This window comes from Homo sapiens, chromosome 1 (genome assembly GCF_000001405.40).
Source record: "Homo sapiens chromosome 1, GRCh38.p14 Primary Assembly".
In the NCBI taxonomy this organism is placed as follows: domain Eukaryota; kingdom Metazoa; phylum Chordata; class Mammalia; order Primates; family Hominidae; genus Homo; species Homo sapiens.
Genome location: NC_000001.11, coordinates 35,736,621 through 35,761,501, shown reverse-complemented (window position 1 = coordinate 35,761,501; position 24,881 = coordinate 35,736,621). Strand labels below are relative to the sequence as shown.

The 24,881-nt window shown below is 41.1% G+C and overlaps 1 protein-coding gene and 1 long non-coding RNA gene across 4 annotated transcripts in view, besides 3 other annotated features; one reads left to right on the top strand and one right to left on the bottom strand.

Annotated features, from left to right (window-relative positions):
* CLSPN (claspin) overlaps window positions 1-24,881 on the top strand; it is a 49,766-nt gene that overhangs the window by 8,477 nt on the left and 16,408 nt on the right. For 2 of the 3 annotated variants that reach the window (NM_001330490.2, NM_022111.4), the window contains exons 7-24: window positions 298-406; window positions 586-1,160; window positions 7,566-7,757; window positions 9,996-10,252; window positions 11,691-11,869; window positions 11,971-12,035; window positions 12,898-13,097; window positions 13,441-13,595; window positions 14,510-14,736; window positions 15,940-16,051; window positions 17,972-18,047; window positions 18,261-18,361; window positions 21,973-22,137; window positions 22,245-22,366; window positions 22,920-23,047; window positions 23,405-23,510; window positions 24,081-24,163; window positions 24,427-24,588. In NM_001330490.2, coding sequence (NP_001317419.1) covers window positions 298-406; window positions 586-1,160; window positions 7,566-7,757; window positions 9,996-10,252; window positions 11,691-11,869; window positions 11,971-12,035; window positions 12,898-13,097; window positions 13,441-13,595; window positions 14,510-14,736; window positions 15,940-16,051; window positions 17,972-18,047; window positions 18,261-18,361; window positions 21,973-22,137; window positions 22,245-22,366; window positions 22,920-23,047; window positions 23,405-23,510; window positions 24,081-24,163; window positions 24,427-24,588 — 3,014 coding nt within the window. The remainder of the gene's footprint in view (window positions 1-297; window positions 407-585; window positions 1,161-7,565; window positions 7,758-9,995; window positions 10,253-11,690; window positions 11,870-11,970; window positions 12,036-12,897; window positions 13,098-13,440; window positions 13,596-14,509; window positions 14,737-15,939; window positions 16,052-17,971; window positions 18,048-18,260; window positions 18,362-21,972; window positions 22,138-22,244; window positions 22,367-22,919; window positions 23,048-23,404; window positions 23,511-24,080; window positions 24,164-24,426; window positions 24,589-24,881) is intronic. The other variant, NM_001190481.2, reaches the window with a different exon arrangement.
* Window positions 17,926-22,057, bottom strand: CLSPN-AS1 (CLSPN antisense RNA 1). The gene is made up of 2 exons (NR_199043.1): window positions 21,989-22,057; window positions 17,926-18,339 (listed from the first exon to the last, which is right to left on the bottom strand). It is a non-coding gene; the product is annotated as a CLSPN antisense RNA 1 (long non-coding RNA).
* Window positions 21,764-22,963: an enhancer, noted in NCBI's record as "CDK7 strongly-dependent group 2 enhancer chr1:36204140-36205339 (GRCh37/hg19 assembly coordinates)". NCBI's record gives its function as "activates an origin of replication core promoter dependent on BRD2, BRD4, P300/CBP, MED14 and CDK7 cofactors, with strong dependence on CDK7, by STARR-seq in HCT116 cells {active_cell/tissue: HCT116}" and the evidence as "EXISTENCE:reporter gene assay evidence [ECO:0000049][PMID:35650434]".
* Window positions 21,764-23,208: a biological region, named in NCBI's record as "CDK7 strongly-dependent group 2 enhancer GRCh37_chr1:36204140-36205339".
* Window positions 22,707-23,208: an enhancer, noted in NCBI's record as "NANOG hESC enhancer chr1:36203895-36204396 (GRCh37/hg19 assembly coordinates)". NCBI's record gives its function as "activates a minimal SCP1, AML or CMV promoter by ChIP-STARR-seq in primed H9 embryonic stem cells {active_cell/tissue: H9 hESC(primed)}" and the evidence as "EXISTENCE:reporter gene assay evidence [ECO:0000049][PMID:30033119]".

The following is a 24,881-nucleotide window of genomic DNA, read 5'->3' as shown; positions in this document are numbered from 1 at the left end:
CGGGGACTACTGTATATAAATGTTTAGGTCCCACAGAGATTCTGATTCAGTAGATTCGAAATGGGATCCAAGAATCTGTATTTCTAAAAAACTTCCTGGATCATTTTGATTTCACATCTAGGTTTAAAAGCCACTGGTCTTCAGGGAGCTTTTTTGTACTTAGCTCCTCTGCCTTTGTTAAAGGGGAGTTTTCTATTTCTAGTGATGGCTTTGGTTATTATGTTTAGTTAACTGAATATGAAGTGACATTTCAGAATATACAGTATATATATTTGCTTGTTTTATTCCATTTTATAGAGTCTGCACTGAACCTTCCATATCATATGCCTGAGAATAAAACCATTCATGATTTCTTCAAACGTAAACCCCGGCCCACTTGCCACGGAAATGCCATGGCACTATTGAAGTAAGAACCCTCTTTCCTTATTATAATTTTCATGAACATTTAGTTTTGTAGCAAACATCTGGCATAAAAAGTTCAGATTTCTCACTCCCTTAAAACTGATTTAACTGATATATACTAAGGGATGAGAATGTTTCACATTTAGGATAATTTTCAACTCCAGCTCAATTTCTCTTCTCTAGGTCATCTAAATATCAGTCAAGCCATCACAAAGAAATCATAGACACTGCAAATACTACTGAAATGAACAGTGATCACCATAGTAAAGGTTCTGAGCAGACAACAGGTGCAGAAAATGAAGTGGAAACTAATGCACTCCCTGTAGTTTCAAAGGAAACCCAGATCATTACTGGATCAGATGAGTCTTGCAGGAAGGATTTGGTAAAAAATGAAGAGCTAGAAATTCAGGAGAAACAGAAGCAGAGTGACATTAGACCTTCACCTGGGGACAGCTCAGTGTTGCAACAGGAATCCAACTTCCTCGGGAACAATCACAGTGAGGAATGTCAGGTTGGAGGGCTTGTAGCATTTGAACCTCATGCCCTGGAGGGTGAAGGCCCCCAAAATCCAGAAGAAACAGATGAGAAAGTGGAAGAGCCTGAGCAGCAAAATAAATCATCAGCAGTTGGGCCACCTGAAAAAGTGAGACGGTTTACTCTGGATAGACTTAAGCAACTGGGAGTAGATGTTTCCATTAAACCACGGCTAGGTGCTGATGAAGATTCCTTTGTGATACTTGAACCTGAAACCAACAGAGGTAATCCTTTACATTGTGGGGAGCCTCCCTGGAGTGATTATCCTGGTAGCTTTTGATTATTGACTACTGTCGAGGACAGAGAACACAGGAGGAACCAATAACCACTTTGATCTTATCCTGCAGTTGTTCCAGATATGGGCAGAGTCTTTTTTAGAGAAATTTGGCAGGGTATCAGAATGATCTAAGCCATGTTTAAAATGGAAGTCTGTTGGCTGGGTGCGGTGGCTTACGCCTGTAATCCCAGCACTTTGGGAGGCCAAGGCGGGCAGATCACGAGGTCAGGAGTTTGAGACTAGCCTGGCCAATACAGTGAAACCCCGTCTGTACTAAAAATACAAAAATTAGCCGGGCATGGTGGCACGCATCTGTAGTCCTAGCTACTCGGGAGGCTGGGGCAGGAGAATTACTTGAACCCAGAAGGCAGAGGTTGCAGTGAGCCGAGACTGCACCATTGCACTCCAGCCTGGGTGAGAGAGCGAGACTCTGTCTCAAAAAAAAAAAAAAAAAAAAAAGGTTGTTGATAGTTAATATAAAAAAGAGGTACATTGCTACTGTGTTATGGTATTTAGGAATTTATTATTTCTGCCTTTCCAATCTGAAATTAAGTTTTTTCTGTAATCCTGAGTCAAATCTTAAGACATTGATGAAAACATCATTTAGTTTTTTACTGCTAAAGAGAAACATTTTGGTTCACTTAAATTATCTGTGAAACCGAATTTCTTTTGTTTTCACTCATTCAACAAATATTAAAGTATCTACTATGAGTAAGTTGCTGTGGGGCATACCAAGATAAATCTGACATTTAAGGTATACTTAAGATGCTTTTACTCTAATGGGCGAGATAAGAAGTATGCAAATAAGAAGTACAAAGGAGAAAATGGTAAATGATGTCTTTGATAATGAATATGTCATTGATAATTGGAAAATAAATAACATGAAGAAAAAGGAAAAGTATTTTCTTAAAGAACATTTAGAATAAAGTACTGTGGGAATTCAGAGAAGCATAAATTTCTTCCAATGAATAGTTAAAAGACAGCCTGAAGAATAGGTGGATTAATTACTTGTTCACTGCCTTCCCTTTATACTGTGAGTTGGTATCTTCTGCCTTGTTCCCTACTCTATCCCTAGTGCTTCCTCAGTGGACGACACATTGTAGGCACTTGTATTTATCAAATGAATGAATGATCCCTCAACACTGAACTCAAGTATTACCACATTGAATAAATTTCCTGACTCTTAGATAGAGCTGGATGCTCCCCACTCTGCCTTGAGGCAGTATGGAATGGTGGTTAAGAGCTTAGACTTTGTAGCAAGACCAGGATTTGAATCTGAACTAGCATAGTAATTGTTTAACATTGTATACGCCATTTGACCTCTTCAAGCATCTTTTGTTTAAAAAAGAGAAGAAAGCCAGACACAGTGGTGCACACCTGTAGTTCCAGCTACTCGGGAGGCTGAGGCACAAGAGGGTCACTTGAACCCAGGAGTTTAAGGCCATCCTGGGCAGCATATGAAATCCTGTCTCAAAAAAAAAAAAAAAGAAAAAGAAAAAAGCACTATATGACTTGTGGGCTATGGTGAAGATTTGTTGAAATAATGCATGCAAATGGATAGTATAAACAAGCACTCAAAAAGTTGTTGCTGCTTCTACTATTATTAGTGAAATGGTTCACATCAAGACTTTTTTTTTTTGAGACGGGCTTTCACTTGCTCTTGCCACCTAGGCTGGAGTGCAATGCTGCGATCTCGGCTCACTGCAACCTCCGCCTCCTGGGTTCAAGCAATTCTTCTGCCTCAGGCTCTCAAGTAGCTGGGATTACAGGTACCCGCCACCACACCCAGCTAATTTTTGTATTTTTAGTAGAGACAGGGTTTCACCATGTTGGCCAGGCTGGTCTCAAACTCCTGACCTTAGGTGATCTGCCTGCCTCAGCCTCCCAAAGTGCTGGGATTACAGGTGTGAGCCACTACACTCAGCCAAGACTCTTTCATTAAACCAAGCATAGTCAGTGGCTTATGCCTGTAATTCTAGCACTTTAGGAGGCTGAGGTGGGAGGATTGCTTGAGCCCAGGAGGTCAAAGCTGCAGTGAGTTGTGAGCTGAAATTGCACTCCTGCACTCCAGTCTGGGAGACAGAACGAGACCCTGTCTCATAAAAAAAAAAAAAACACAAAAAAATTATCTTTCATTAAACATCTTATTGTTGGCAGGTGCTATGTCAGTGACTATATCTGGTGTGTAAAATATGCTCAGTGAGTCTGTTAATTGAATGGGTTGACTTTGGAGATGGAGAGGATAGAAAGAGCACCTTGTCTCATTAAAACAAAAAGAAAAACAAAACACACACAAAAAAGATTCTGTTTCATTAAACAGCTTATTGTTGGCAAGTGCTATGTCAGCCACTGTATCTGGTGTGTAAAATATGCTTAGTGAGTCTGATAATTGAATGGGTTGACTTTGGAGATGGAGAGAAGGACAGAAAGAACTCTGCATGGTGGTGCGTATTGGGAAGATGTGAAAGTCACTTTGACCAGGGCTGGAGGTTCAGGTGGCAGAGTTGTATAACAGAACTAGCATAGCTCCATTAGCAAAGAAGCATGAGAATAAGCTGTTGTCCGGAACACTGAGGGAAAGTTTTTGTTATATGGGACTAAAAGTTACCTAAACAGTCCTAGACTGATAGGAAAGGGAGAAACATTTTTTGAGTACCAACTATATTAGACACTGGTACATTCTTTGTTAGTTGTCTTTCTTAATTCTCACAGTGCCAGGTATTATTTTGCAAAATGAAGAGACTGAGGCTCAGAGAGGTTAGGTAATTTTTCCAGCATTATACTTGGCTTATAAAGGGACCTACACAGTGGCTGGCATATAATGAGCACTTATTTTTTAACTTGGAACATGTTTTCCTTTAGAAATAATTGACACGAAATTTGGGTTTCCAGACCAGCCATAATATACATGAAGTTAGAATCAACATTCATTCATTCATTCATGCAATAAACTTTTATTTAGCACTGTGTTGGGTGCTGTGTATACACGTAAAACACTCCCTGCTCTCAAAGAAATTGAAGTGTAATAGGAGTGATAGACAGGCAAACAGACCATTACAATACTGGATGGTAAGTGCTGCGATCAAGGTATATAATTGAGGGTGCATTGGGAACCTAGAGGAAGGGTACCTTACTTGGAGCCTAGAAGTCAGGGAAGTTTCTGAAATGAGCTCAGTAGAGATACCAAGGCAGAGAGGTGAGGGAGGGCTTTTTTGGTGGAGGGGTTGGACCTGCAGATGTCAGAGACAATGGAAAGCACAGGGTGATCTCCCTGGCTGAAGTGAAGATAGCAAGGACATTGGTGATCAGAGCCCAGATCATTCAGGGTTTTTATGCCATGCTAGGAGCTTGGACTTTAGCTCTTTGTAAGTAGAGGACCACTGAAAGGTTTTCAGCAAAGGAAATGTTCAATCAGATACTCACTTTAGGAAGTTAAATCTGGTAGCTGTTGTGGTGGATGCATTGGAAGGGGTTAAGAGTAAAAACAGTGGGAACAGCTCAGTTTCTTTACCTCATATAGAATAAGGTTTCCATGAGAAAATGCATGTAAATTTAAATTTTGTGATGTCAGAAATACATTATTTCTGTTGCTTGCAATAGCATATGGAATAATCCCTGCCTCTAATTCCTCTACTTTCTGGACAAGAGCAATGTGAATGAGAACAGTTCTTATGCTGCTGATAGAGATAAGCTAGGAAAGAGACTTTTCACTTAAGAGAGGAGATGAGAGGTGATGGAGGATGAGAGGTGATGGACTAATAGAGATGAATGGAGGTAGAGGAACTTGAACAGGGGTTTTAGGATGAAGACAGTGATGGTTGCATCATGTAATAAAGGCCAAAGAAAGTGGTTGCTCCAATGGGTTGGGGGAGGAAGAGCTTTGAGGATCCTAGCTTTCTCCAGTTATGAATGAAGATACCTCTTGCCTGACTACTATTTTAAGTCCCAGGTAATCTTCCCACCCAACCATTTCTCTTACCCTAGTGGCACCCATAATAACCTGCCTATTTCTGTTCCCTTTTCCCTGCTACCACCTGTTGCTTTCAGCTTTACTGAACCACTGCAAAATAGGAGGCAGACTTACAGCTTGTCTCTCTACTCTTTTGTTTGCAATGTAAACATACCATCCTTTAGAGTTGGGTTTTTGCTGCTAATAATGTTGGGGTTTCAGGATAAAAAGATTTCCTTCATTTTTCTCTTTTTCTAGTAAGACCGTCTAGAGGAAAAAAACACATCTAGATGCTAGTCACAAAAACACCGAAGTATGATTTGAGTGCATTTTAGAAAATTAGTCAAGTTTCATGCCTATAGTCCCAGCACTTTGGGAGACTAAGGTGGGAAGTTCGCTTTGAGGCCAGGTGTTTGAGACCAGCTTGGGCAACATAGCGAGTTCCTGTCTTTACAAAAAATAACAAAGCCAGATGTGGTGACATGCACCTGTAGTCCTAGCTACTTGGGAGGGTGAGGTAGGAGGAATGCTTAAACCCAGGAGGTCAAGGTTGCAGTGAGCTGTGATCGCACCACTGCACTCCAGCCTGAGCAACAGAGCAAGACCCTGTCTCTAAAAAGACAAATGAAAAGTGGCTGGGCACAATGGCTCACACCTGTAACCCTAGCACTTTGGGAGGCTGAGGAGGGTGGATCATTTCAGTCCAGGAGTTCAAGACCAGCCTGGACAACATGGCAAAACCGGTCTCTACAAAAAATACAAAAATCGGCCAGTCGCAGTGGCTCACTCCTGTAATCTCAGCACTTTGGGAGGCCGAGGTGGGTGGATCATCTGAGATCAGGAGTTCAAGACCAGCCTGGCCAACATGGTGAAACCCCATCTCTACTAAAAATAAAAATAAAAAAATTAGCTGGGTGTGGTGACGCATGCCTGTAATCCCAGCTTCTAGGGAGGCTGAGGCAGGAGAATTGCTTGAACCCAGGAGGTGGAGGTTACAGTGAGCCGAGATCATGCCACTGCACTTTGGCCTGGGCAACAGAGTGAGACTCCGTCTCAAAAAAAAAAAAAAAAAATTAGCTGGATATGGTGGTACATGCCTATAGTCCTGGCTATCTCAGGAGGCTGAGGTGAGAGGATCACCTCTAAGCTTGGGGAGATTGAGGCTACAGTGAGAGCCAAGATTGCACCACTGCACTCCAGCCTGGGCGACAAAGCGAGACTCCATTTAAAAATAAACCATTTTATCATGGACGAGAAGGCCGCCTGAAAATATCCAGTGTGCATCAACTCCAAAGGAACTTTCTCCTTAAAACTGCCAGCTCTCATCACAGATTCCATTATGATATGAAGTGTTAAGCAGAGTGAGTAGGGATTGGTTCCAGGTAACAGCTAGCTGAGGGAGAAGGAAATTCTAAGATATTGCAGTGGGGAAGAGGGGTAAGTTTATATCACTATTGGATTGCTGAACTTACTGTTCCCAGTATATATATATTTCCGTTTGTATACAAGTTGAGCATGTGGTACTGGGGCTGCAGTATTTTCTTTCTCATTGTACCAATTGTACTAGTGTAACAGTTTTCACCAAAAAACTTTTTACAGTCCTGCTGCTTAGTTATATCACTGACTGGATTGTCATTTTATTTTCCCTTCTTGAAAAAAATTGACTTTGCCTATATTTAGTAAGATTGCCAATAATGAAACATTCAAAATAGGGAATTTGATCCCAGCACTTTGGGAGGCCAAGGTGGGCTGATCATTTGAGGTCAGGAGTTCGAGACCAGCCTGGCTAACATGGTGAAACCCTGTCTCTACTAAAAATACAAAAAAATTAGCTGGGCATGGTGGTGCTCACCTGTAACCTCAGCTACTCAGGAGACTGAGGCAGGAGAATCGCTTGAACCCTGGAGATGGAGGTTGCAGTGAGCTGAGATCACATCACTGCACTCCAGCCTGGGCAATAGAGTGAGACTGCATCTCAAAACAAAAACAAAAAACAGCAATAACAAATAGGGAATTTTAAAAGGAGACCAAAACCCATGAAAAATTAAGCCCTTGAATAGATGAGATTATAATCTTTTTTCCTACCAGTTTAATACTTTTAAAGAATTTTTAAAGAATGTTCAAAAGAATTGCACATATTTAGAAATTTCAGGTATAAATTTCTGTCTGATTTTTTAAAGTCTGATTTTTGAAACGTTGAGGAAGAACAGTTGTGGCAGTCAATTAGTTTGGGTTAAGTTGTATGAATTTGACTCAGGAGTTAGTAGCAAGGGGTTTTTGGTTTCTCTGTGTATGTGTGGTTTCCCTCATAATTGTTGAGCTAAAAAAAACTTAGCTTATAAGTCTTAAAGGAAAGAGTTTTGAGCATGGCAAACTGACACACTGGTTGGCGTTTGGGTTTAGAACTGGAAGCCTTGAAGCAGCGTTTCTGGAAGCATGCTAATCCAGCAGCCAAACCCAGGGCTGGTCAGACAGTGAATGTGAACGTCATAGTGAAAGACATGGGCACTGATGGAAAGGAAGAGCTAAAAGCAGATGTGGTACCTGTGACTTTAGCACCTAAGAAGTTGGATGGAGCAAGCCACACAAAACCAGGTATTTGAGCCCACAGGTTTTGTTTTTTGCTTTTTGCTTTGTATTCTAACAGATCTTCAAGGCTATTGAAAACCTTATAATGAAAAGTTATAGAATCTTTTTCCTTGGAGGCTTTGCAGAGCAGTATCTCTGGCATGATTCACGTGTAGCACACCTAGAGGTGTGGGGTGGACAAGCTGGCTTTATTTTTTTTTTAGATATCATTTGTCTTATTATAAAAAACCCCATTATAGACAAATATATAGAATAAATGAAAAACTTAATCTTCTATCAGAGACAGGTTCTATAACCATATCGTGTATCCTTTTAAACTCTCTTCTTTGCACATATGTATATGTAATTTAAACAAAAACAGGCTGGGTGCAGTGGCACATGCCTGTAATCCTAGCACTTTGGAAGGACAAGGCAGGAGGATCTGTTGAGCTCAGGAGTTGGAGACCAGCCTGGGCAACATAGTGAGCCCTCATCTCTACCAAAAAAAAAAAATTATCCAGGCATGGTGGCCTGCACCTGTGGCCCCAGATACTTGGGAGGCTGAGACAGGAGGATCATTTGAGCCAGGAGGTTGAGGTTGTAATGAGTCATGATTGTGGCACTGCACTCCAGCCTAGGCGAGAGAGTGAGACCCTGTCTCAAAACAAAAAACCCAAAACAAAACAACCCACCTATAATGTGATCATAACATGCATTCTGCTTTGTGTTTTAGAAATGTATTAAGGACAGCTCTCACCCCTCCCTTGAAATCACAAGTAATATATCACATGGAAAACAGTTTTAAACACTGAAAAAAGGTATCAAATGAAAAACTAGTCTTCCCAAAGATAACTATTAACAATTTCTTGTATGTCTTTATAGGAGTATTTTTATCCATATACCGTATTTTGTGAATGTGTGTGACATTGAACATTTACTCCCTGTCAGGCATTGCTCTAGGTGCTTTATATGTTTTATCTCATTTAATCCTTACAACCCTATGAGGTAAATAACATTAGTATCCTTATTTTGTATATGAAGAAACTGATATGCAGAGCACTTAAGACACTTGCTCAAGTTTACACAGCTAATAAATGGTAGGACCAGTAGTCTAATCCAGACCACCTAACTCCAGAGCTCAGATCTACTTTATATTGCTTTTGAGGCTTTTTTTTTTTTTTTTTTTTTTCCTCTAAGACAGAGTCCTGCACTGTCACCCTGGCTGGAGTGCAATGGCACGATCTTAGCTCACTGCAACCTCTACCTCCTGGGTTCAAGTGATTCTCCTGCCTCAGCCTCCCGAATAGCTGGGATTACAGGTGCCTGCCACCATGCCTGGCTAATTTTTGTATTTTTAGTAGAGATGAAGTTTCGCTATGTTGGCCAGGCTGGTCTCGAACTCCTGACCTCGTGATCTGCCCACCTTGGCCCCGCAAAGTGCTGGGATTACAGGCGTGAGTCACTGCGCCCGGCCTTGAGGCTTTTTTTAAAATGGCTGCATAATATTCCATTGAATGAATACAACATGACTCATTAAACCATACTCGTATTGACAGATGTCTTGTTTGTTCCAGTTGTTGCTATTGCATACAGTGTTATATTATAGTGCCAGATATATGGTGGTATATTAGATGAAAATTCCTTACAGTGGAATTGTCATGATATATATCACATTTTGATATATATCATCCAGTTGTCTTTCAGAATGGTTGTACCACTCTGAATCACAGTGTATGAGTTCCTGTTTCCTCTCAATAGGTATTATCAAACCTTCTAATTTTTGCCAGGCTAACATGTCGAAAATGTATCTCGTTATTTTGATTTGTAGCTCTTCAATTAGAAGTGAGATTAAGCATTACTTTTAATTTATTAACAATATATGTTTATTTTTCGTGAACTGCCAGTTCATATCATTAGCTCATTTTACTCGAGTCGTTTCTCTTTTTCTTTAATATAGGTAAATTTATCAATGTTTTTCTTCATGGCTTTTGAGCCACAGACTTGAAGCTCTACTCCCTACCCACCTTTTCTCTCTTTTGAACAATTATTTTATAATCCCTGAGTAGTATACTATCTAGGGTGCAGAAGTTCTCTTTGATACTTCAATTCATAATAATACTCTTGTGTTCAAATAACAAAAAAGCCCAGAATACTAGAGTCTCAGATTTTCCTTTTGGGATGTGACTAGAATATTTCTGGAGTTGCCTAAAATGCATACCTAATTATTGTATTATGTCTAAAGCATTTCTACATATTTCTGTTCAGGTGAAAAGCTTCAGGTGTTAAAAGCTAAACTGCAAGAAGCAATGAAACTCCGAAGGTTTGAGGAGCGCCAGAAGCGCCAAGCACTGTTTAAATTAGATAATGAAGATGGGTTTGAGGAAGAGGAGGAGGAAGAGGAAGAAATGACAGATGAGTCTGAGGAAGATGGAGAAGAGAAGGTAGAGAAAGAAGAGAAAGAGGAAGAACTAGAGGAAGAGGAGGAGAAAGAAGAGGAGGAGGAAGAAGAAGGAAATCAGGAGGTTTCTGGCAATTACGTTGTTTTGTTACCTTGTCATGGTGAATATGAGAGAAAAAGTCAGACTTGAAAAAGAGTATAATAAGCATGTTCAATTGTATAAGAGGTTTTAGGGGCATGATGAGGGTAACTACCTCATATATCCCTAAATCTTAGGAACTTCAGTTCTGTCAGTACCACTGAATATCTGTAGATCATCATTATATATCTGAATACAGATATTCAGTGGTACTGACAGAATACCATTGCCTGGGCTTCCACCTGTTTATATATTTTAATATAATAATGCTAATATTAAAAATGGCTTTGTATTCGTAGGAAATTTTATCTTTGTTGTTTATTTAGGTTTCTCTAGCAGATTAAAAAGCAGTCCTAACCTTGGCTAGATTGAGGCCTGGAGTAAATTCTTAGGGAGGTAGAGGCCTTTCTGAGTTATTTTCGTTCTTTGTAGAAGAAGGCATTTGTAGAAGGGCCTCTTGCCCTTGTTCCGTAGTACTGTTTTCTGCCTAGGGAAAACAGGTGATGATACGATTGTTAAGTATTAAAAAACTTTCCTTTTTGGGCCGGGCAGGGTGGCTCATGCCTGTAATCCTAGCACTTTGGAAGGCTGAGGTAGGTGGATCACCTGAGGTCAGGAGTTTGAGAACAGCCTAGCCAACATCGTGAAAATCCATCTCTACTAAAAATACAAAAATTAGCTGTGTGTGGTGGCACACACCTGTAATCCCAGCTACTCAGGCAGGAGAATTGCTTGAACTTGGGCAGTGAAGGTTGCAGTGAGCCAAGATTGTGCCACTATACTCTAGCCTGAGCGACAGAGCAAGACTGCATCTCAAAAAAAGAAAAAAAAAAAAAAACTTTCCTTTTTGTATGCTGGGATCACTTTATTTTATTTTATTTTATTTATTTATTTAAATTTTTTTGAGATGAGGGTCTCACTATGTTGACCAGACTGGTCTCGAACTCCTGGCCTCAAGTGATCCTCCCATCGTTGTGGCCTCCCAAAGTGCTGGGATTACAGGCATGAGCCACCATGCCCAGCAACTTGAGTTATTATTTAATTTTGGGTAAAGGAGAAAGAAAGCAATGGCTGAGCTATACAGCCTGTCTCAGTCTGTGCTTGGTTTGAGATCAGTAGTCAGCCTGCAATCTTAGACTGATTAATTAACCTCTTACTGCCTCAATAAAATGATAATCCAGTCGTCCTTTATAATCTTAGCAATTTCGGGAGGGTAGAAGGTAAAAAAAAAAAATAGAAAAAAGTTCTAGAAGTGTCAGGGAAAATTATGTTGATAATGGTCATATGGAACTTCCTTCAAGTTTACCTTTTTGAATTTAAGATGTGATCTGTAACCAATCAGCCATATTTCAGGCTACCAGTGTATTTGCTTTTAAATGTTTTGACTTGTATTTTTTGTTTTGTGGTGGCCTGATTGGTAAAGACTGCAGAATTCCTTCTTAGTAGTGAAGAAATAGAAACAAAAGATGAAAAAGAAATGGATAAAGAAAATAATGATGGCAGTAGTGAAATTGGCAAGGCAGTTGGCTTCCTCTCTGTTCCCAAGTCTCTCTCATCAGATTCTACTTTACTTCTGTTTAAGGACAGCTCTTCCAAGATGGGGTAAGTGATTCTCTCTAAGAAAACTTAAAATTGCCTTGGATTTGCCCCTCCTGTAAAAACTAGGAACAGATACTGAACCAATTTACTTTCTTATTTTGCAGTTACTTTCCTACTGAAGAAAAATCAGAAACAGATGAAAACTCAGGCAAGCAGCCTAGCAAACTGGGTAAGTAGTGATTCTTGTGCAGAACTTAACATTTCTTTTGTCCCTCAGCTTTGATATTTAAGGACTGCAGTACGGTAAGTTTCCATGTTTTTAAATCTGGTCACTTCCCAGTTTCATATGTAGCTATGAAAAGGGTTTATGAATTAGAATATTTTTCTTGGTCTATTTTTTGCAGTTTATTTATAGTAGACCATGGTACATAATGTCCTTAGTGAATGTGTGTTGATTGAGTGAGCAATGAAATGTTTCTGTATGTAGATCAAAGGAAGACGTATAATTGATTGGACAATGAAGAGTGTGATCATAGGCATTAGGAAGGATAAGAGAAAGAAGAGAACTTTCGGCCAGGCGCAGTGACTCACGCCTGTAATCCCAGCACTTTGGGAGGCTGAGGCAGGCGGATCATGAGGTCAGGAGATCGAGACCAGCCTGGCTAACATGGTGAAACCCTGTCTCTACTAAAAATATAAAAAATTAGCCAGGTGTGGTGGCACGCGCCTGTAGTCCCAGCTACTTGGGAGGGTGAGGCAGGAGAATCGCTTGAACCTGGGAGGCGGAGGTTGCAGTGAGCCGAATTCACGCCACTACACTCCAGCTGGGGTGACAGAGCGAGACTGTCTCAAAAAAAAAAAAAAAAAAAAAAAAAGAACTTTCAAGTGTCACTTAGCTCAGAGTAATAAGCCCTGATTATATAATGCTATCTTAGTACTGTAATTTACCTTTAACTTAATGTTTTGGAACATATAACTTGAGGGGTTTGCCTATGAATTTTATCTGACAGTTTCATCCTCAACTCTTTTTCCTAAACAAATCCACCTTATTTCTGTAATCATGTGCTTAAAAGGTGTTTCTCTTTCTTTAGATGAGGATGATTCATGTTCATTGCTAACAAAGGAGAGCAGCCACAATAGCAGCTTTGAGCTGATTGGCTCCACGATTCCATCCTATCAGCCTTGCAACAGACAAACAGGCCGTGGGACCAGTTTTTTCCCTACAGCAGGAGGATTCAGATCTCCTTCCCCTGGGCTATTTCGAGCCAGTTTGGTCAGCTCAGCTTCTAAGGTAAGATGGTAATGGTTTTTCTAATCTCCTCCTCTCTTTGCTTCCCACATTGCTAAATAAAGTTTGTCCCAGCCAACCAACTCCCACCACGTTGGTACTGAGCTTATGTGTGTTCAGTTTAAAAAATCCACCCCCTTTGTGTATTAAAAACAAGCTTCATCCAGTATTCTTACTTTCTTGGAGGTATTTTTCTTTATGCTTCTCATGGCTGTGTATTGTCCCCCTCAACTACAATTTCCTGAGAGTAGCTTAAATATTGCAAATAGCAACTTTTGTGGTTGTCATGACAATGACTGACATTTGTAAAATGTTTTGTTATTGTTTGTTTTTGTTTGTGTGCCAGAGTTCAGGGAAACTGTCTGAGCCTTCACTTCCCATAGAGGATTCCCAGGATCTGTATAACGCCTCCCCAGAGCCTAAGACACTTTTCCTAGGAGCAGGAGACTTCCAGTTCTGTTTAGAAGATGACACTCAGAGCCAACTGTTGGATGCAGATGGGTAGGTAGTTTTGTGTTTCTGTGGGCGGGAATGGTGCTGGGTACTGCTTAATTTTGTTTAAAAATAAGTGAGCTTCTGTCACTCCATCTGTGCTTTCTCTTCTGAGAAAGAGAAGGTGTACAGACCATTAGTATTACATTCTATAAGTTTGAACAAAGTCTGTCCAGAAAATAAACATAAATAGCTCTTGCTAACATTCTGGTCCTTCAATTTCTGTCTTATTTGAAATGCATAGATCTTGTATTGTAAGGTCATCAAATTTCCCTGTATCCATCCTGCTATGTTATTATTGTTGGGTAAGGTTGAGAATTCACAGACTGGTGGCACATTACAGGACATAATGCCAAGCCCTGCTCTAGCATCATCTGAAGCTAAAAGTTATCCTTTACACTTTACCTTCTGAGTAACATTTTATTCTTTCACAAAACTTTTCCCTCCCTCTTTAGATTAACACAAGCCTAAAGTTTGAATCTTTTGCTTTCTGGTTTGAGATTCAGCTTTTAACTGGTGTAGGAAATGAATTCAGAGGTTTTTCACCCCCTACTTTGCCATTTCTCTGAGGAATTTTTTTTTATTTTTTTTTTTGAGGCAGAGTCTTGCTCTGTCGCCCAGGCTGGAGTGCAGTGGCGCGATCTCGGCTCACTGCAAGCTCCACCTCCTGGGTTCACGCCCTTCTCCTGCCTCAGCCTCCCGAATAGCTGGGACTACAGGCGCCCACCACCACGCCCGGCTAATTTTTTGTATTTTTAGTAGAGACGGGGTTTCACCATGTTAGCCAGGATGGTCTTGATCTCCTGACCTCGTGATCCGCCCGCCTCGGCCTCCCGAAGTGCTGGGATTACAGGCGTGAGCTACCGCACCCGGCCCTCTCTGAGGAATTTTTTACACTATTCGTTGTGCTCATTGGTTCTTAGGTTCTTAAATGTTAGAAACCACAGGAATCAGTACCAAGCTTTGAAGCCTCGATTGCCATTGGCCAGTATGGATGAGAATGCCATGGATGCCAACATGGATGAGCTGTTGGATTTGTGTACTGGAAAGTTCACATCTCAGGCTGAAAAACATCTACCCAGGAAGAGTGACAAGAAAGAGAACATGGAGGAACTTCTGAACCTTTGTTCAGGAAAATTCACTTCTCAGGGTAAATATCCAACCGAGAGTATCAAGCTTACCACACCCAAGTATCAGTGCCCTTGAAAAGAATTCCCTGGGCGGGTGGGGTGGCTCATGCCTGTAATCCTAGAACTTTGGGAGGCTAAGTTGGATGGATCGCTTGAGCTCAGAAGTTTGAGACCAGCCTGGGCAACATGGCAAATCCCCATCTCTACGAAAAAAAAAAAAAAAATTAGCCAGGCATGGTGGCACGTGCCTGTGGTCCTAGCTACTTGGGAGGCTGAGGTGGGAGGATCTCTTGAGCCTGGGAGATGAAGGTTGCAGTGAGCTGAGATCACACCAGTGCACTCCAGCCTGGGTGGCAGAGACCCTGCATAAAAATAGAAAAAAAGAAAGAAAGAAAAGAAGCCCCTTACCCTCAGGTGAAAAGTTCACAGAAAACAGGGCTGTGATGGAATCTGTGTATAAACTGAATTCACTGCTTAGTGCCCTGATATTTAGAACTCTTACTTTCTTAGAGTGGTAAAGTATCAACTTAAGACTACTTTAGGCCGGGCGCAGTGGCTCACGCCTGTAATCCCAGCACTTTGGGAGGCCAAGGCGGGGGATTTCCTGAGCTCAGGAGTTCGCCACCAGCCTGGGCAGCACGGTGAAACCCCGTCTCTACTAAAATACAAAAAATTATCTGGGCATGGTGGCCCGTGCCTGTAATCGCAGCTACTTGGGAGGCTGAGACAGGAGAACTGCTTGAACCCCGGAGGTGGAGGTTGCAGTGAGCCGAGATTGTGCCACTGCACTCCAGCCTGGGCAACAGAGAGAGACTGTCTCAAAAAAAAAGTCTTGAAAAAAAAAAAGACTGCTTTAGCTTTGCCCATATATCATTTATGATTAATGTATGTACAAAGTTTAGAACAGTGTCTGATGTATAATAAATTTCATATAAATGTTAACTTACTTCCTGTTCCCTGCCCCCAATACACACAACTGCTAGATCGAACATAAGCTCTATGAGACCTGGGATAGTGGTTTGTTCATTACTGTATCCCTGGTGGCCTGGCACATATGGCACATAGTAAGCACTAAATAAGGATTTGTTGAATGAATAGATGGTAGGCTCTTCTTGGCAAGCTTACCTTAGAACTGTATCGAGCTGGCATGACTTTAGATGGCTGGGAAAAGAGTATAAAGCTATCATTCCTTGGTGACACATCTTTTCCTTGTTGTGATGTAGATGCCTCCACTCCAGCCTCATCAGAGTTAAATAAACAGGAGAAGGAGAGCAGCATGGGTGATCCAATGGAAGAAGCACTTGCTCTTTGCTCAGGCTCTTTTCCCACAGACAAGTAAGTCTCAGATTGCTGGGAATTTGGGAAGGCCTGGCCTTTTGATAAAATCAAAATAACTGATCATCTTAAGGGCTTTGCACCTTTTCTGAGAATCTTGCAGTGGATTTGAGTCTCATATATGCCTAGTAAGCAAATTATAATGCTTTGGTGGAGAACAGGGTAAAAAAGGCAAGAATATGAAAGCTATTTAATATCATTAATAGAGAAATGCCAATCAAAACCATAGTGAGACACCCATTAAGATGACTTTTATCAGAAAAACCCCAAGAGTGTTAGTGAGAATGTGGAGAAATTGGAAACCTTGTGTACTATTGGTGAGAATGTAAAATAGTGCAGCTGCCAGGGAAAGTATGATGGCTCCTCAAAAATTAAAAATAGAGGCCAGGCACGGTGGATCATCTGAGGTCAGGAGTTCGAGACCAGCCTGACCAACATGGTGAAACCCCGTCTCTACTAAATACAAAAAATTAGCTGGGCATGGTGGCGCATGCCTGTAATCCCAGCTACTTGGGAGGCTGAGGCAGGAGAATTGCTTGAACCCGGGAGGCAGAGGTTGTAGTGAGCCGAGATCATGCCATTGCACTCCAACCTGGGCAACAAGAACAAAACTCCGTCTCAAAATAAATAAATAAAAATAGAATGACCATATGATCCAGCAATTTCACTTCTTAGTCTGTACCCCAAAAAAGTGAAAGCAGGACTTGAACAGATATTTGCACCCCCATGTTCAAAGCAGCATTATTCACAGTAAGTAGTCAAAACATGAAAGCGACCTATGTTTATTGGCAAATGAATGGGTAAACAAAATGCGGTATATATGCAAAGGAATATTCAACTTAAAATGGAAATTCTGGCTGGGCATGGTGGCTCACACGTGTAATCCCAACACTTTGGGTGGCTGAGGTGGGCGCATCACTTGAGCTCAGGAGTTTGAGACCAGCCTGGATAATATGGCAAAACCCCATCCCTATAAAAAAAATACTAAAATTAGCTAGGCGTGTGCCGGCAGTACCAGCTATTCAGGGGGCTGAGGTGGGAGAATTGCTTGAGCCTGGGAGGTCAATGCTGCATTGAGCCATGATTGTGCCACTGCACTCTGGGCATCAGAGCAAGACCCTGTCTCAAAAAAAAAGAAGTTCTGACACTTGCTACAACATGGATGAACCTTAGAATGTTATGCTAAAAGAAATAAGCCAGTCACCAAAAGACAAATACTGTATGAGTCCACTTACATGAGATACTTAGAGTAGTCAAATGCATAGAGACAGAAGGTAGAATGGTGGTTGCCAGAGACTGAGGTTATAAGGAAATGGAGAGTGTAATGGGTATAGAGTTTTAGTTTTGCAAGCTGAAAAGAGTTCTGGAGATTGCTTAACAATATGAATGTACTTAACACTACAGAACTATAGAAAGATCGTTAAAAAGGCAAATTTTATATTATGTGTATTTTACCACAATTGAAAATTTAAAAAATTTTCTTCCTGTTTATTGAAGAGATTATTGGTGATAATAAAAGTTTTAAATTTGGCTGGGCGAGGTGGCTCATACCTATAATCCCAGTACTTTGGGAGCCCAAGGCAAGCAGATTGCTTGAATCCAGAAATTCAAGATGAACCTGGGCAACATGGTGAAATCTGTCTCTACAAAAATACAAAAATTAGCTGAACATGGTGGCTTGTATCTCTAGTCCCAGCTACTCAGGAGGCTGATGTGGGAGGATCACTTGAGCCCTGGAGGTGGAGGTTACAGTGAGCTGAGATGGTGCCACTGTATTCCAGGTGGTGTAAGAGACCAAGACTGTCTCAGAGAAAAAAAAAAAATTAACACACACAAAATTTTTTTTAATTCATAACTTGGCTGACTACTTGTAGTTTGCTTTCAACAACTTATTTATTGATTCATTGATTTACATTTTAGGGAAGAGGAAGACGAGGAGGAGGAATTTGGAGACTTTCGGCTTGTTTCAAATGATAATGAGTTTGATAGTGATGAGGTGAGTATGAAGGGAACAAAGTAATCATAACTGAGCTCCATGTATTGCTGCCCTCAAGTGTTTTTTTCCCCTCAGTTCTTGAGAATTCTAAGTTTGGCATCTTATCAGAAACAATTTCCTAGAATGAGGTATTTGGGCAGATGTTTATAAATCCTTTTTTCATTGAGGACGCATTTTATTCTGCTTAATTTGGATATGATGCTGATTTTGTAGGATGAACACAGTGACTCTGGTAATGATCTGGCACTGGAAGACCATGAAGATGATGATGAAGAAGAACTCCTGAAGCGATCTGAGAAGTTGAAAAGGCAAATGTACGTGTTATTAATATGTCCATTCCTTCAGGTGTATTTAAAATTTGGTCACTAGGCCAGGCATGGTGGCTTGCGCCTGTAATCCCATCATTTTGGGAGGCTGAAGCAGGCGGATCACCTGAGGTCAGGAGTTCAAGACCAGCCTGGTCTTGGTGACACAGGTCAAGAGATCGAGACCATCCTGACAAACATGGTGAAACCCTGTCTCTACTAAAAAATATAAAAATTAGCCAGATGTGATGACAGGTGCCTGTAGTCCCAGCTACTCAGGAAGCTGAGGCAGGGAGAATCGCTTGCACCCAGGAGGTGGAGGTTGCAGTGAGCCGAGATCGCACCACTGCATTTCAGCCTGGGTGACAGAGCGAGACTCTGTCTCAAAAAAAAAAAAAAAAAAAAAGTTGATCACTTAATATGTCCTGTGTGCTAATAACTGTGCTTTACAGGCATTAACATATTATCTTATGCCAGGCACAGTGGCTCACGCCTGTAATCCCAGCACTTTGGGAGGCCAAGGCAGGCATATTACTTGAGGTCAGGAGTTTGAGACCAGCGTGACCAACATGGTGAAACCCTCTCTACTAAAAATACAAAATACAAAATAAAATACAAAAATTAGCCAGGCATGGTTCTGGGCGCCTGTAGTGCCAGCTACTTGGGAGGCTGAGGCAGGAGAATTGCTTGAATATGGGAGGCGGAGGTTGCAGTGAGCCAAGATTGCCCCACTGCACTCCAGCCTGGGTGATAGAGCAAGACTCCATCTCAAAAAAATTATCTTATGAGTGGGTACTATTATTCTCCTCATTTTACAGTTGAAGGAACTGAGCCTCAGAAAGATTAAATTTACCCAAGATCACATAGCTAGAAGGCAGCAGAGGCTGGATTCAACTTAGATTAGGTGAAATCTCCCCTAACAGTCAGTTAATAGTTTGCCACTTTTTAACTTAAATCCTCCTGCCTCAGCTTCCCAAGTAGCTGGGACAACAGGCATGTGCCACCACACCTGGCTAATTCTTTCTATTTTTTGTAGAGATGGGGCCTTGCTTTGTTCCCAGGCTGGTCTTAAACTGTTGGCCTCAAGTGATCCTCCTGCCTCTGCTTCCCAAAGTCTGGGATTACAGGCATGAGCCACCAGGCCCAGCTTTTTTTTTTTTTTTTTTTTTTTTTTTTGAGACGGAGTCTCGCTCTGTCGCCCAGGCTGGAGGGCAGTGGCATGATCTCGGCTCACTGCAACCTCCGCCTCCCGGGTTCAAAGCGATTCTCCTGCTTCAGCCTCCTGAGTAGCTGGGAATATAGGCACGTGCCACCACACCCAGCTAATTTTTGTATATTTAGTAGAGACGGGGTTTCACCATGTTGGTCAGGATGGTCTCGATCTCTTGACCTCACGATCCACCCGCCTTGGCCTTCCAACATGCTGGGATTACAGGCGTGAGCCACCCCACCTGGCCGGCCCAACTCATTTTTTTGATATGCTGTTCTGGTCATGAAAGTAAAATATTTATTTTAGGATATTTAAAAGAATACAAACTGGGTGCAGTGGCCCACGCCTATAATCTCAGCACTTTGGGAAGCTGAGGCGGGTGGATCACCTGAGGTCAGGAGTTCGAGACCAGCCTGGCCAACATGGCGAGACCCCGTCTCTACTAAAAATACAAAATTAGCCAAGCGTGATGGCCAGTGCCTGTAATCCCAGCTACTCAGGAGGCAAAGCTGGAGAATCGCTTGAACCGGGAGGTGGAGGGTGCAGTGAGCTGAGATTGTGCCATTGCATTCCAGCCTGGGCGACGAGAGAAACTCCATTCTCCCCGACCCCCGCAAAAAAAGAATACAGAAAGATATAAATAAAAACTTATCCATGTCCACCATCCAGGATATAAATGAAAGTTAGTTTGTTCCCCTTAATCTTTTTTATGCATATATTTTTATATAGTTGAGATTTGTACAATCTTTCTATATGTATAATTTTGCATCTTTTTTTTTCTACTTAGCATATCCAGAAACATTTTCCTATGATGTTAAAAAAAGTTTTATAAAGATAATTCTAATAGGTATTTAATATTATATTGTATGTGAATGATTTGGAATTCACATATAGGACATCATATTGATCCCTATTAGATTTATATGGTTGCTTTTATCCCATCATTTCATTCTATTAAGATTCACTTTGGGTTCTAATTTATCACCTATCAAATTAACTCTCATACAGCTTTAGGTTATCCATAGATTTTTCTAAGGTAGTGGTTCTTCTCTGCAGAGCTCTTTGTTCAAATAAAATCTTTTAAAGAATGACAGATAAAAGTTGAACTGTTCAAAGATGGTAAGTGGGAAGTTTGGGAAACTTAGTGACTAGTGGCCTCTGAAGGAATTTTCCAGGAACTCTAGGATTTAGAACAACTTAGCTTTAAGAAAATACAGTATAGGCTGGGCGTGGTGGCTCATGCCTGTAATCCCAGCACTTTGGGAGGCTGAGATGGACAGATCCCCTGAGGTCAGGAGTTCAAGACCACCCTGGCCAACATGGTGAAACCCTATCTCTACTAAAAAAACAAAAATTAGCCAGGCATGGTGGCACGCACCTGTAATCCCAGCTACTCGGGAGGTTGAGGCATGAGAATCACTTGAACCCAGGAGGTGGAGGTTGCAGTGAGCCGAGATGGCATCTCTGCACTCCAGCCTAGGCGACAGAGCGACACTTCATCTCAAAAAAAAAAAAAAAGAGAAAATACAGTATAGGTCTTCGATAAAAATCAGTTTTCAGAAAGCCACCAAACTTCTGCCATTTTGGACCACATGGGACCAAGGTGACTTTGAATCCAGGGTGACACCAGATTTATTCTCCGGGGGAGCTGAAGTCATAAGAAGTAACTAGTCGTTTTGATTACCAGGAGCTCTGAGCCTTAGTCTTCCTTCTGATGTGGGGGTCAAGATTTGTTAGGCTGTAAGAAGATCCCAGTTTATTACCTTTCTACACCACACCATCTCTAGTTTGTCTCTTAAAGCTGGTGTGCTCAAATGCAAAATGAAATAGTTTGAACCTTCCAGCAGGTATTCTAATACATGTAAAAGAGATTAAGAGTTTTCTGGCTTTCAAATCACCCAATCTAAGTTGAATCCAGGCTCTGCTACCTTCTAGCTATGTGACCTTGGGTAAATGTAATCTTTCTGAGGCTCAATTCCCTCAACTGTAAAATGAAGAGAATAATAGTACCCATTCCTATGATAATATGTTAATGCCTGTAAAGCACAGTTATTAGCACACAAGACATATTAAGTGATCAACTTTTAAATACAGATGCTCCACATCTTACAATGGGACTATATCCTGATCAATCCATCATAAGTTGAAAATGCACTTTCATATTATCCAGATATAACTCCATCGTAAATCGAGAAGCATACTAAGTGCGTATCACATTCATGTCATCGTAAAGTTGAAAAATCATTAAGTCAAACCATCATAAGTGGAGACTATTACAAAAAAATTTAAATATTATCAAATGTATTATGTTTATTATTATTAGAAGTGACTCTGTTCTGCTTTTCTTTGCTTCCATATTCTGTGAGTATATTCATTGTTGCATTTTCTAATCCTCAAAATTGCTTTCTAGGAGGTTGAGGAAATACCTGGAGGATGAGGCAGAGGTGTCAGGAAGTGATGTGGGAAGCGAAGATGAGTATGATGGGGAAGAAATTGATGAATATGAAGAGGACGTAATTGATGAAGTACTTCCTTCTGATGAGGAACTGCAGAGTCAAATCAAGAAAATACACATGTCAGTATCCCAATAAGCCCTTCTGAGTAATAGGGTACATCTTAAGACAAGCCCTGTAACCAGCCAGAATGGTCCTTGTTTTGAACACCTTATTTCTCCTGTTGCAGGAAAACTATGTTGGATGATGATAAGCGACAGCTACGTTTATACCAAGAGAGGTACCTTGCTGATGGGGATCTGCACAGCGATGGTCCTGGGCGAATGAGGAAGTTTCGATGGAAAAACATAGGTATCTTGGTTGTTGTCTTTAAAAGCAATCAGTTACGGGCTGAGCATGGTGGCTCACGCCTGTAATCCCAACACTTTGGGAGGCAGAGGCAGGTGGATCACAAGGTCAGGAGTTCAGGACCAGCCTGAACAACATGGTGAAACCCCGTCCCTACTAAAAGTTCAAAAATTAGCAGGCTGTGATGGCACGCGCCTGTAATCCCAGCTACTCAGGAGGCTGAGGCAGGAGAATTGCGTGAACCCGGGAGACGGAGGTTGCAGTGAGCAGAGATCATGCCATTGCACTCCAGCCTGGGCGACAGAGCGAGACTCCATCTCAAAAAAAAAAAAAAAAAAGCAAACAGTTACAATGCATATTTGTCGAGTTTCAGATGGCAAATGGCAAGCAAAACTATAACAGGCTATGTGAAGACCTAGTTGTAACTGTTTTCTGTTAATGGATGGGAAAAGTTTACATCATTATATAGTAAATGATAAGGGTTTATTTTTTGTCTGTCCAAGCACCCTCTCCTGTGAGGACTGCCGAATGCTGATTACCTTCACTCTTTGTTTAGATGATGCTTCCCAGATGGACTTGTTCCACAGAGACTCTGATGATGATCAGACTGAAGAACAGCTTGATGAGTCAGAAGCCAGGTGGAGGAAGGAGCGAATTGAACGAGAGCAGTGGCTTCGGGACATGGTAGGAGTTCACCTACTCTGACCCTAGTTTATGAGACTGTCCCTTAGCTTGTCATGATAGTTTCAAAATCTTAGCTTGTCATGATAGTTTCAAAATCTTAGGCAACATATTGCTATCTCTTTTAATCCTTGAGCTATCTTTTGTGTTTTGAGAAGGCTATACCATAGACAGTTCTCTTCATGTTTGTCTAAGATTAATTTTTTTTTGTCTAAAGCAGCAAAGGCTGCAAAAAGGAAAACAAATACCCCAGGAACTCTAGTTTCACAATCCAGGCCATGCTAACTATTTAGGAAGGTTATAGACTTTTAATGCTGTATATATATATATATATATATATATATTTTTTTTTTTTTTCAGGCACAGCAGGGGAAAATTACAGCTGAAGAAGAAGAAGAAATTGGGGAGGACAGTCAGTTTATGATACTGGCCAAGAAAGTTACAGCCAAAGCACTGCAGAAGAATGGTGAGCTCTTGTTTCTCCTTAGGGTCTAGCCCCCTGGATTGTTAGTGGTAGAGCTTTGGAGGTGACTCTAACCTTCAGGAGCTGTTGCAGCTTAATCATAAGCTTGTGTCTAATACTGTCTTAAAGAGGCTTCACAGAGGTGGTGGGAGACAGTGTACTTAGATCTTAGACTATTGGGCAGTAGAGACTGTATTCATGAGTATATGTGGCTGGTTTTACTTTATGTTCTAAGGCTCAGAGTAGTTAATTCTGGCTTTCTCTAGTTGCCCAGGATTGTATACCTAAGTGTTAGAGGTAGGATTTGAATCCAGGAATATTTAACTCCAGAAATGAAGCTCTTCACTATTCCCTACACTGACCACTTCTGTTTTTCTTAAATGATTACTGTTCAACTTAGTTGTGTCTCTTCTTGGAGCCAATTATTATAGTTTGAAAGTCACCATTATATAGAACAGAGTTCCCATGGCTTTAGCATATTGATTTAGTTACAAGATTTCTTAGCTTGTTTAGATTTAAAAGTAATTCTAATCAGCTTTTCCCAGAATAGGCCTCTCTGTCTTTTCTTTCCAGCCAGTCGCCCTATGGTTATTCAGGAATCAAAGTCTTTGCTCAGAAATCCTTTTGAAGCCATCAGACCAGGAAGTGCTCAACAGGTTGGTTGGGAACCTTGTTAATCTGACATCATAGTCTACAGGTTATAAAGGCCCAGGTCCAGCTTAGAGAATAGTCTCTGTCATTAGAGGAAGGAGGTGGCTGCAGGGAAAAAGTTAATGTCAAAGGAGTCTGCTATTTCTTTTCTATTTGAATAGGGTAGGCATATGTACCCTCAATATCTAGGGGGAAGCAGGGAGGGAAGGACTTTTCATTCTTTAGTTGGCACTTGGGATTTGATACCAGATGACTCTTCTTTCCTCAGGTGAAGACAGGCTCACTGCTAAACCAGCCCAAAGCTGTGCTTCAGAAACTGGCTGCTCTCTCTGACCATAACCCCAGTGCTCCTCGAAATTCAAGAAACTTTGTCTTTCATACACTTTCTCCTGTCAAGGCTGAGGCGGCAAAGGAATCGTCTAAGTCTCAGGTATGGAATTTGAGAACTAATATGGTGGCTTCCCAAACCAGAATTTATTCATTTATTTAAATTTAAAAACAAAAATTCTGGCTTAACCTCTATGCTGCAATGTTGAAATCTTGCACTCCCCGATAAGGTACAAGAGAATTGCTACCCCAGTCGGTAATCAACTTTTAAACTTGCCGAGAAAGTTTATCTTTCTTTCTTTTTTTCTGTTGTTAATCATCCACAATTTATGAGTTGCTTGAGAGCTAATTGAAGGTAAATACTTGTATGAAGGTCTTTAGCTGGCCCTGACTCCC